Source organism: Homo sapiens, chromosome 15, assembly GCF_000001405.40.
Source record: "Homo sapiens chromosome 15, GRCh38.p14 Primary Assembly".
In the NCBI taxonomy this organism is placed as follows: domain Eukaryota; kingdom Metazoa; phylum Chordata; class Mammalia; order Primates; family Hominidae; genus Homo; species Homo sapiens.
The window spans coordinates 62,741,897-62,754,393 of NC_000015.10; the positions used below are offsets into that span (position 1 = coordinate 62,741,897).

Genomic DNA, 12,497 nt, shown 5'->3' on the forward strand with positions numbered 1-12,497 from the left:
ACTTTCCCATCTGCAAAGTGGGGGTATGAACTACATCATCCTTAAAGCTCTCCTTAGCTCTCAGCACATAAGATCTCATGGTACTCATGGTCCAAACATGTCCTTCCTCCCTCTTGGCTTGTAGTGGGGTGTGTGTGTGTGTGTGTGTGTGTGTGTGTGTGTGTGTGTGTGTGTGTGTGAAGGGTTAGACACTGTCAGAGCAGTTTGCTTGCAAACCCTTGAGTTTCTTCATTTATTCCTGGAAGGTACATTTTAACTGCAAACAATAGCTAGAGCCACTAGGGGACTGGAAAATTATCTTCCCATCTCATGCTTTGTTCGTGACTGTTCTAGTAAATAAGTGACCTCCCTTGATGGTGGGAGAGATGGGAGGTGGGGTTGGGGGTGATGTCTGTTCTGTTGAGCAGCTGTTTCTGATAGAAAACCCCCTCTTGATCGTTGCTTTTTTTCCTACAAAGGAGCCTTTGGATAAGGCAACTGACATTTCCAGGTATCAGAACTCAGATGTTTTTCATTATCTTCAATTTTTTGCATCATTTCAAAATTACAGTTTCCAGCTTGGAATGGCTTCACTCTCCTAAATTGTGGGAAGGAGGGGGAATGTATAAATTGCCCTTTTGAAAGCCAGATATAGAAGGAAACAGAGCCGGAAAGAATATTGCTGGTGTATGGCTCTGTGAATAGGTGCAGGCCCCCTGGTGGTGGCTTCGAAGAAAGGACATGGGGAAAAGGGGAAAAAAAAAAGCTTTCGTTGCCTTTCTGTCCTGGCTTTTAGCAGTTGACGGAGAATTCCCAGCCTGGTGATTTCATAGCCAGGTAAGCACTTAAAAATCATCACATGAAAATGATTGTCTTGGGATGGAACTGTTGCGAGAAAACGCTGGCACATTCTCCTTGGTTTTTTGGCACATTTTGGCAAGCTTCTGCTCCCTGGGGCTGTTTCTCAGCAGAGACTCCAGCCAGGTCAAGAGGGTCAGGCAGGCTCCTCTTGGGACACAAAGCTCTGCCAGGCTGGGGTTCATTCATTCATTGTCTTATTCATTCATGTCTTCATTACATAGATTTTCATCACAGGCCTGATGTGGGTGACGCCCAGTGCTGAGTGCACACTGTGAATAAGACAGGGCCTGTCTTATTATGTGTGTCTTTATATCTTGTGTATTTATAACCCTCATTATGTGGCCCTGGTGGAGTTAGGCAGGACTCACCACATGCTCCGCTCATTTCATCTGGGCCTAGAACAGTCCTGCATAAAAGTGCACAGGAAGCTGGGCAGAAGGGATCTGATCATCATAGTCTCAGTCCTCAGTCCTCTGTCCTCCTTGTTCTTGAGACTGTCAGGTCCTGCCTGTCCTTCCTGTGTGTATCCTCAAAGTCCCCAGAAATGCCACTGCGGGGACCCAGGCCTGGACCAACTCAGCCCTGTCCCACTCCTGTGTTAACAGTCTCAAACCCCTTATTATTTGTGGTCTCTGTGGTCCTTCTTGCTCTGGGAAGAAAAGGTTTGCTTCTGGAGAAAAAAGTAGAGGATGTCTTTTTCCTCTGTTCTTAATTCTGCTTCCGAGCCTGGGTACGTTTTTGGGACCCTACCTATCCCCTTGGTTTTGGATGCCTAGGGGAGAGGAAGTCATTTGCTATTTAGTGCCTGGTTTGTTCATTTTCTTCCCGTGTAACTGTTTGGGTTCTGGCTCTTTTCTGACAAGTTGGGTGGAGCTGGAGACCCTTTGTCACCCATTCATCAGCCTTTTTCCCCCAACCAGGGGCTGGTCAGGTGCCCCCTAAACTTAGTCAAGGAAATAGAAAGCTAGCTTGCAGTTGCCAAAACGAAGGGGGTATCCTACCTCTGAACACCTTCCCTGAATCACTGCTCACCACCACAGTCATCCTGGCCAGAAGGACTCCAGAACTGAGAAGGCTTTAAGCCCACAGCGGCCAGCATCACACCCCCGGGCCAGGTTTCAGCTGCTTTCCAGTCCACAGAGGATGCTCCCTAGGAACTCAAGGTAGCACCTGCCCCCCTGGCTCCCCTTTGGTCTGAGGTTCTTGCTGGACGGGGCTCCTCCTGTCCCCAAAGACTGTGAAGATGGATGGTCTAGCAAGCAGCACAAACGAGAAGAGTGCATTTGCTCCGTAAACAGAAAGGTGTACAAGAGACCTTTGCTCTCTGTGGGTCTTACCTAGAATGTTTCCTTCCCTCCATCCAAATCAGGATGTCACTCAGCCCTGACTTTTCCAATTGCTTCAGTCTACATCGAGCCCTCCCTTTCAGGCAGACTCTGTGCCCGGCAGCTGAGGCTTTCATTTTCTTCCGGCTCCCTGCGAGTCCCTACATACCTCTGGTCCCTTGCTCAGCGATCCATCATGCCCTGCCGGGTGTCCCGCCCTGGTACTGCTTTCTTTCATCCAACTTCTTTGTACCTTGTCTTCTCATTGTCTTGCCTTTTCCATTAGATTGCAAACACCTTGCCATCCTAGAGAGCCATAAAAGATTATTTTTGTTATTTTTAATTTTTTTTTTTTTTTTTTTTTTAAAGAGAGGCAGTCTTGCTGTGTTGCTCAGCCTGGTCTGGAACTCCTGGCCACAACCTCTGGAGTAGCTGGGATTATAGGCACAAACCACCATGCCCAGCTAGATGATTATTATTATGTTTTTATTTATTTTTATTTTGAGATGGAATTTCGCTCCGTCGCCCAGGCTGGAGTGCAGAGGCGCGATCTCGGCTCACTGCAGCCTCCACCTCCCGGGTTCAAGTGATTCTCCTGGCTCAGCCTCCCGAGTAGCTGGGATTACAGGCGCATGCCACCATGCCCAGCTAATTTTTGTATTTTTAGTAGAGACGGGGTTTCACCATGTTGGCCAGGCTGGTCTCAAAACTCCTGACCTAGTGATCCACCCACCTCGGCCTCCCAAAGTGCTGGGATTCTAGGCGTGAGTCACCGCGCCTGGCCTAGATTATTTTTTAATCTCTGTGCCTTGACATAACAGGACCCTGGGAATACAGAAAGGTCAATTTCGATTTGCTCTTTCCTCCTTTCCCAGGCGCCTCTTCCCTGGAGGCAGGCAGACAGATGTCTGCTGCTGCTTTTTACCTTCTAAGCTCCTGACTGGGTGACTTGTGCTAAATAGGTAATCAGAAGCACAAAGTGGTTGATTTTCTTCTCACACTCCACCCCACTTCTGTATCTACTTAAAACTTCCAGCCAGAGCTCTCACACTTCAACTGAACCTATTCAGCATCTCTGAACACTAAATAATGTTTTACCTTAACCCTTTTTAACCATTGAAGTTGTAGATCCCAAGTTTTTTAGAAACTGAGAGTAGATAGATAAGCCTAGATGAAAACACTATCTCTGTAAGGTAGCATTATGGTTATTTAGCTTTTTTGTATTTTTAAAAATGAACTTATGTGGCTTTGATCACTAAAAAAAGATGGTAAAAAAAAAATAAAAGTAACTGTACTTCAGACCTATTTGGATTTACAAAGAACAGAGACCCTTCTAATTTTGGCCAGATTTTTTGTGATAATGTAAATTGATTAATTTCTAATGGGGGGTAGATTTATTGAAATTTTTTCTTTCAAAATAACATTATAAAGTCCCTTCACCTTTTAATATATGTCGTTCTATCATTTTCTATGCATATATATGTTTATTTTTAGAGGGGTAGGCCCATTCTATTCTATTTTGTAAGTTTTATTTTCCTTAATCACGTAACACATATATTCATCTCTGACATTAGTAATATGCTACACACTGACTTTTAATGGGTCCCCAGGATTCCCTTGAGGGCTGTATATTTATTTAATCCTCTATTCTTGCGTATTTGAGTTGCTCCGTATTCTTTGCTCTTATAAATAGCTGCTGGGGTTTAAAACATAAATATTGTTTTTCATTGTCAAATTTACATAACCGTTTGCCTCTGGACCACTTAGCACGTATTTAGCATGTAATCCCGACTGTAAAATTAGTTATGGGAATTCGTGATAGCTAAATAATGCTTCTTAGTTCTGGATCAGTATTACCCAAGCATCTCACTTAGACACACGATGCTGTGCTGGCACTTTTGTGGATTACCCAACCACAAACCCTTAGTCTGTTGGTTTTTGTCCCAAGTTTTTATTTGAAAAAAATTTTACATCTACAGAAAAGTTGAAGAGTTGAGGAAAACTGGCGGCTTTCCCACAGCTGTATATCCTCTGGATTCACCAATTATAAACACTTAGTTTTCAATGGAAGAAACTTTTATATAGCAACAAGGTTTTTTAAAAAACACAGATAAACAGGAAACACAGAGAGAATTAAGCTAAATAGAAAGTTTCTGTGATATGTGGAAATAGCACATATGTTGATATATGCCAGCCTATCTCAGAAGCGTGTCTCAAGGCCACCACCATGTAGAACAGGGTGCTGGACTCCCCAGGAGGTACTTTAAAAGCGCGCATTGAGGACTACACCCTCCGCAATCCTTGGAACTAGGGATTGTCCGGCTGTCTCCTTGTTCTTGTTTTGCTTTGCACCATAGAGAGCGCAGTGTTTCCCAGTGACACCCTAATTAAATAGTGGTCACCAAATAAATGAATCACCAGAGTCAATCTTACAAAAACTATTTTAGAATTTTCCTATCACCCTAGCTCAATTTGAAATTGAAAGCAGTATCTCCTCATCAAATAATTAAGCCGATTGCTTTTGTACATTGGCAACATCATTTTCTGTCTAATTTGATATTCTGTGGGAAGCTGCAAAGCCAATTTAACTAATAAAATGAGGCATCTTTTATATTAGTGTTGGTGATTAACAGCAATATGTGCCTATTTTATTTTTGTTTAACTTGCCAAAGCTGCAGTGGTTAGAAACTGAGTCGAATTCTGGGCCCTGCCAGAAGCGTGGACCAGTTATGACACTGCAGGAAAGAATTATGTATTTGGTTTTGGAGTCAGATAGGCATGAGTTTAAGTCTTATTTCTGCTGCTTATTTGTAGCATGCTCTTTGGGAGTTATCTCAGATTTTTCATTTATAAAATGCGTGGGTTTTCAATTTTAAGACTTAGTGTAAAGCTAGTCGTTAAGACAGCGTGGTATCGACAAAACATTGACCATGTAGATCAGTGCAACACATATCAATGGTGAAAAGATTGTCTTTTCAACAAATGGGGCTGGAACTATGGGGCTTACCTATGCAAAAAAAATGTTTTAAACAACTATGAGCTATATCTTATACTATACAAAAAGTTAACTACGAATGGCCATGACTTTCAAAATTATCCATGTCATTACTTCAGACAAATTAAACAGCGGCTGTCCAGGAGGGACAGAGTCCTTGTCAATGACTTGTGCTAAATAGGTAATCAAAAGCACAAAGTGATTAATTTTCTTATCACACTCCACCCCAATTCTGTATCTACTTATGGGCTACCTCTTAGAAACAGGTAAAGTCATATAAGAGTCCCTAGGTTATTTCTGTTAATGTTAACAAAGAAAATAGCTATTTTAATGAATAATTTTGTGGTCGCTTTTGGGAACCAGTCAATCATATAGAATTTAATGGAAGGAAGAAATTTTAAAATCATAGGCACAGTTCACTTTATATCCATGTATTTAAAAATGTACAAAATATTTTGTACATTTTTTATCTTGTTCCATGGGGTTATCTTGTTCCATGGGGACTGCTGATGAAGGGTCTTAAATAGTGCTAATATGGTCTATTTGCTTGTTGTGAATTCTTTCTTATGAATGTATTAGCTTTCTTAGGAGAACTACAGTGGACCCTTGACCAATGCAAAGGTTAGGGGCACCGACCCCTGCACAGTCAAAAATTCATGTATAGCTTTTGCTTCCCTAAACTTTACCAACAGCCTACTGCTGACTGGAAGCCTTGCTGATACCATGAACAGTTAACACATAGTTTGTATGTTGTATGTTAATGTATTATGTACTGTATTCCCATGATAAGTTGAGCTACTAACAAAATGATAAGAGAAAATGTACTTTTCACTAAGTGGAAGTGGATCATCATAAAGGTCTTCATCCTCATATTCGTCACATTGAGTAGGCAGCGGAGGAGGAGGGGTTCATCTTGCTGTCTGAGAGGTGGCAGAGGTGGAAGAGGTGGAAGGGGAGAAAGGAGAGGTAGACACACTGGTGTAACTTTTACTGAAAAAAAAACCCACCTATAAGCAGATTTGCACAGTGCAAACCCATGTTGTTCAAAGGTCAACTGTATTAGGACCCCTTCCAGATCTAGCAAATGAATAATCAGAGGCGAGGTAGGGTTTCTCATTCTGTCTTCCCTGGGTGTGGTTTATTTTTGGTTGTGTAGAGCCTCTGCAGAAGAGTTCTCCTGGGGACCCGAGCTGAAATAGTGAATTAATTGTATTTCTGGTGAGCCTGCAAAGCATTGTAGGGGAAATTACTGTTGATCTTCAAAAAAAAAAAAAAAATTCTGTTTCTGTCACAGAGCTGTGACAGAGAGCATCAATCAACTCATCACTCTGTGTACCCAACAAGCTCCGGGCCAGAAAGAGTGCGATAATGCCCTGCGGGAGCTCGAGGTAGGTCCCTGGGAAGGCTGCTGAGGACTTGAGAGAGGGAGTGTCTGTGTCTGTGTGTCTGTGTGTCTGTCTGTCTATGTCTGTGTCTGTTCTTTCCCTATAGGGCTAGTTTTCTCTTCTCTGTCCTTGCCTTTTATCTTTCCTTGGAGGCTGTTAAGGCCAAAGTTCCAATCCAAGTGGAAAGAAACTGAAGAGAAACTAGATTTAGTGGGATTATCATTCCTGCTTCTCCTGTTTCCAGTAGGATGAGATGTATTTTGTTAAAGGATTCTTTATTTCAAACAGGAAGAGGCCTGTGATGTTGGGTGTAGGCTGAAGATCAGCAATTTTTACCTAAAAAATATTGGAGAGATTATTCTGGAACAATGGGGAGAGAGCTAGAGGCTGAGATAGGTGTTCTTTTGAGTAAAAATGATTTTCCCATACACTGCATCTGTACCATGTAGGGAATATGTAAGAGGAATCCTAGGACTAACAGTACTTACACAGTCAGGATGGCTGTGGGGCCCCTAAGGGCCCAGAACACAGTGTGGGTGCTTTTCATTTTATATTCATACTCATTTATACTTGAAAAGTTATGTATCCCCATAGAATGTGTGTGGGTAAACATAAAATCAGTGTACCTACTTGTATGTCCTAACCAATGCCGGTTATATTGAGATGCCAGACGAGTATCTCAGTAGATGTGGGTTGGTTGTCCCAAGGAACGTTCCATTTTCTGGATGATCAGCATGGGTCTGGCATGGTGGGAATACCCACTGCAGCTTCTGAAGCATTTGATTGAGGCCCTGGTACTGGCACTAGGCCATTGTGCACAGCTGGAAATGAGAAGGGGATTGTTATCACAGGACCGAAGCATTCTGAAAACAGTTGAGAATGTTTCTTACATTGGCTGAATTACTACCCTATTCTGCTGTGTTCACATTTGCAAATATAAATATGTAGGTTGTTGATCTAAATGAGCTCTGTTGGCCTAGGTGCCAGTACTCCGTCCCTTATTGATATCCTTGGTTGAAAAATATGACTAGTTTAGGATTGCTGTTAATAGAACAATTTTGAATATCCAAGGAGTGGGAGGAGGTTCTTGAATGAAATGAGCTCATTCCTTACACTGCCCTCTTTCCCTCCCATCTTTAACAGCTCAGCAGTTCCCCTTCCTTCTCTCCCAGCCCCCCACCAGCCTTTGTAACTCAAATGACTGTCTTTTTGTTGGCTGTGTCCCAAAGATTGCTGGGTCCTAATGTACATTCTCACTCTCTGGGGAGGAGGTTAAATGGCTGCATCCCCAGGAAAAGTCCCTTACAAGTGGTGATCAAGTTCATTACAATGCCATGACAGAGCTAGCCATGGTTTTTGGTGGCTTAGAGACACAGAGCCAGGCCCTATACCCATGTATTTCTTTGATGAGGACCTAAACAACAAGAAACGTTTTCTATACTGTTTAAATTAAAAACAAATGAACCATCACAATGGACAGTTTGGGGGAATTACCTTCTTTCATGCCTTCCTATTAAAATGTTCCAAAATTGGAAAAACTGAGGGTTCTTACTGGTCATGAAGAAATGAATGGCCTTTTGAAATTTAAACTCCTTAGAATTATCCTGCTGAGAAGTTGTGCTAATTGACCACGCATGTATTGCCTTGTATTAATGTTCTAATATGTTTTAAATGCCATCCTTCTGTGTTTACCTTGTTTCTTCTCCTTCAAAACTGAAAACAAGAGATTCTCATCTCTGGCCAAGCTAACCAGAGACCCCCTCCCCTATAATGAGCATTGTGTTGCTAACAGGAAATCTGAAGTCATGATACCATGATGTAAATTCTCAAACATCTGAGTAAAAGTGATCATGACCAGAAACTTGTGTATGGAGGGAGAGTTGATAGTTGGCAGTTGATGTTGAATTTCTTTTGCTCTATGACATTTGCTTGCTTTTTATGTTGTGTTCTTCTTCTGTAGACTGTGAAGGGGATGTTGGACAATCCTAATGAACCTGTTAGTGACCTCTCTTACTTTGACTGCATTGAGAGTGTGATGGAAAACTCCAAGGTAAGACTGCCTATGCCGTAAGTCAGAAGTTAGCATTGCTTGTCAATGTGGGGAGAAGTTTAGACGTGCCTTCTGTGCATCTGCCTGTGGCTGGTCTGCAGGGCTAGCCACATGTAGCATGAAGCCTATTTGTGGAGCCCTTTGCTCAGGAGCTTCTCAAACTTGACGGTGCATCAGAATCACCTGGAGGGCTTGTTAAATACAGATTGCCTACCCCCAAGTTTCTGTTTCAGTAGGTCTGAGAGGAAGCTGAGATTCTACATTTCTGACTATCTCCCAGGTCCTGCCCCTGTGGTCCAGGAACCATACTTTGAGAACCATTTCCTCTCTTTTTTCACAAATGGGTCTTATTGTAAGTCAAATCGTGTATTTTCTACACCGGAACTGATTTGGAAAGTCCTTCAGTAACTTGACTTACGTGGGATCCTCTTATGTGTTCTTTTGCAGTCTATTCATGGCATGCATTCTCAAGGAGGGTGAAATTGTTTTGTTTTGTTTTGTTTTGGTAGGACATTGGAGAGATGTTGAAAAAAAATTAAGATAATATAATGGCTTGTTACCCTGCTCCTATCTTAACCTTACTCAACAAAATCTTATTCTTTGGCATTTGATTAGGAAAAAAAACATAAAAGGCTCCTTAGTGGAACAATAATAAAAAAAAAAACTGTTGAGAAACACTCCTCTGTAGTAATCATACCAATGTCTTTTGAGAATGCCTTCAAATCAGAAGGTGAAAATCAAATGCAAGGGAGAAGAATGGATGTCGAGCTGTTGCAATCTGGCTTTGTAGCTGAAACATGGTCACTTTTATTCTAGCGGGGAAACATCTGTGCTGGTAATGTCAAAAGGACTCTGTTTGATTTGGGCTAAAACTAGAATTTCCTCATCCAGTACCTTTTATGGAATTATGGATTGTCTAAGGGAAAGATGCATACACACTCAGATCCAAAGAAATGGTTCCTTTTTTGCAAATCCTTATGTAAACTGGATTATTTTGTATATCTAAGCAATTTTAGGGAATTTGTTCCCTTCCAAGATGGCTTATTGACAAATAGTCTCTGCCTTGGGTTCTAGACCTGGCAATACCACAGTCTCTCCACAGGGTAAAACATCCTTCAGTTCCATCATTGTTGCCAAGGAAAATATGACCAGCCCTCCTGGGGCATAATGAGGGAACACCAAATTTACATTGGGCACCCTGTACCTGCCCATGTGACCTTCACTGTGACCTTGTACAGGATGCATGACCACTCTGGGTTGGATTCTGAACACTAAAATCTCTTTCAGCTGTGATTGTAAAGATCTCTGAAGAAAGAATACACCACACCAGTGATTTTCAAAATAAGGCAAAATTCTTACAGTATTTAGGAAACATACTTAACAAAGATCTCTATTTAAATTTTACTGTCAGTAACTAGACAAATGATATCTGGAAGGGTGAGTATCATGCTTTCTGATTATGACCTCACCTACAGCTCGATGCATATGATTTTTATATTCTGGGAACTAGTTATCAGTTTAGACCATTCACCCATGAGTTGCCTTTTATAGACTCTACTATATTGTCTGTGTATATTAACTCTAACTGCTTGGAATACAGATAACTTTGGGGTTATACTTTCATTGTACTTATCTCTTTGTGGAATGGAAATGATGTAATTTTCTTCCATCTCTTTTTAATCCAAATAAAGGAGAAAATGTCAAATGTTCCAAATTAAGTTGCCTTGAATATTAAAGTTGGAGTGTAGCCTCCTTTACCCCTTGGTTTGAGGCAATGCTGGATAGAGAATGTTGCTGGCCGTTTGTTTTGCAGGTTCTGGGTGAATCGATGGCAGGGATTTCACAGAATGCCAAGACCGGAGACCTCCCTGCCTTTGGGGAATGTGTGGGGATTGCATCCAAGGCTCTCTGTGGGCTGACAGAGGCTGCAGCCCAGGTAAGGGGCTAGTCCCGATGCAGCCATGTGCCCTGTGCCAGATCCCTGTGGGAGGTGTGGGGGAACTCCAGCTGCACCTCTTTCTCCAAGTACCACCACAGAAACCATGGGAAAGGCAGTGGCTTCTGTGCTGGCTGGGGCATTTACACAAAACATGAGCCAGTTACCCCCGAGGAGCAGAGCAGCCATGGGCCAGGCTGGGGAGCATGGCAAGACTCAGTACAGACCCAGCATATAGGTTCAGAGGCCAACTTTTCAATCCTTTTAAAAGTTTTTATTATAGATGAGTTGTTTGGGGTAGAAAAATAAGCACTAAATAATTTAAATTTGCTAAGGCTTTAGAAATGCGAAACTGTTATGTCATGCTCTTTTTAGAATCAGAGAGAGAAAAAAATAAGATGCCATCATGCAGAGACATGATATGGCACATTCCTTGCCCTTCTTTGACTATCCTCTGTATTTTCAATGATGATTGACCTCCCATGACAGAAGCTTCAAAGATGTCAGCATCTACTTTAAAGCGTTCATCATTTGACAGTTACCTTGAACCTAGAAGATTTTACTGAACCACAGAGAAACATCACTAGTTTAGGGGATGAAATTATCTACCTTTATCCTTCCCCTCAGATCTCAGGAGAAATGAAATAAGATCAAAATTCCTATGCACAGATTCATTTTTTCTTTTTTATTTGGCTGACACATCTAAATGGAATTGCAAAGAGAAGCCCTTCCCTTGTGCCCTCTTGTCCTCTTGGGAACCAAATGCTGCCTTTTTTGTTGTTTCTTTTCTGGGCCATCTTACTCAATTACAAAGTTAAGATCCCTTCTGCTGTTGAAAATACTGACCTAAGCAATAAGGACATGCTTCGGTAAGCTACGAGATGAGGAACCCTAGGACAGGGCAGGCTCCACGGTTGGCTGACCCAGCAGCTCCACACCATTAGTCTGCATGCACCCACTGTTTTGTGCCTCTCCTGTCTGCCAGCCAAAGAGTCAGCTTCATGCTGAGGCTGGGCAGCCTCGTGATCACAAGATGGCTGCCAGAGTAGTCAGGGCTGCATCCATCCTTATCCATGCCCCCAAAGAAGAATTTCTTGAGGCTCTCTCAGAAGAACAAGGACACTTTGTTCCATGAGCCTGTGATAAACTACTTCTGGTATGTCAAGCTGGCATAAACCTGTTCATTATTACACCCTTATTGGTGAGCGGGATGAGATGACCTTGACCAGTTTGAACTGAGGAGTGCCTGAGTGTGACAGCTGCATGTGTAGTGCGGACCATCATCCCCAGCAGGCTCACCTAGGAGCACGGAGCCTGAGCTGTGGTTTTTCTCTTCCCTTTCTAGGCTGCATACTTGGTTGGCATCTCTGATCCAAACAGCCAGGCAGGCCACCAGGGCCTGGTGGACCCCATCCAGTTTGCCAGGGCTAACCAGGCCATCCAGATGGCATGCCAGAACTTGGTGGACCCTGGCAGCAGCCCATCACAGGTAACTGTTGGGGAGGATGTAAGATTTCAAGCCCTTAAGCAGCTCCTCTAGGTAAGTTGTGGGAGACTATGAGAAATTAGTAAAGAATCTTGTTCTTTCAGAGCTTGCAAAGGTAGCTAAATGCCAGCATTGTAGATAATGACTCAGGTGGGAGCAAATATTGCAAAATATGATGAATCTGGAAATTTGTAAGTGCCTTGAAATGGGGTGCCAGAAGGCAAAAGGAGTGAAGTAATCACAGTGAGATTGACAAGGAGTCTTCATTCATTTCAGGGGACGTGAATTGAGGGCTTGTTCTGTGCTTAGCTGTAAGGGTTCAATGTGCGCAGGGCTCCGTTTTCTACCCCTTGGCTCTTAGTGTGTTAGGCAAAGTTTGGAAAATGCAATGACCAGGGCACGATGACAGTGCCAGGGATGTGCAAAGGAAGGTGTGATTAATTCTCCAAGGGGGCTGTCAGGGCTCACTTCACAGAAGTG

The 12,497-nt window shown here is 42.6% G+C and overlaps 1 protein-coding gene across 2 annotated transcripts in view, besides 1 other annotated feature; it reads left to right on the forward strand.

Annotated features, from left to right (window-relative positions):
• TLN2 (talin 2) overlaps positions 1-12,497 on the forward strand; it is a 454,082-nt gene that overhangs the window by 351,347 nt on the left and 90,238 nt on the right. For both annotated transcript variants that reach the window (NM_015059.3, NM_001394547.1), the window contains 4 exons: positions 6,455-6,548; positions 8,506-8,595; positions 10,409-10,531; positions 11,877-12,020. In NM_015059.3, coding sequence (NP_055874.2) covers positions 6,455-6,548; positions 8,506-8,595; positions 10,409-10,531; positions 11,877-12,020 — 451 coding nt within the window. The remainder of the gene's footprint in view (positions 1-6,454; positions 6,549-8,505; positions 8,596-10,408; positions 10,532-11,876; positions 12,021-12,497) is intronic.
• Positions 1,663-1,818: a silencer, noted in NCBI's record as "fragment chr15:63035758-63035913 (GRCh37/hg19 assembly coordinates)". NCBI's record gives its function as "represses an EF-1alpha promoter that drives an FKBP-Casp9 reporter gene in an ReSE screen in phorbol 12-myristate 13-acetate-treated (for megakaryocytic differentiation) K562 erythroleukemia cells {active_cell/tissue: K562(+PMA)}" and the evidence as "EXISTENCE:reporter gene assay evidence [ECO:0000049][PMID:32094911]".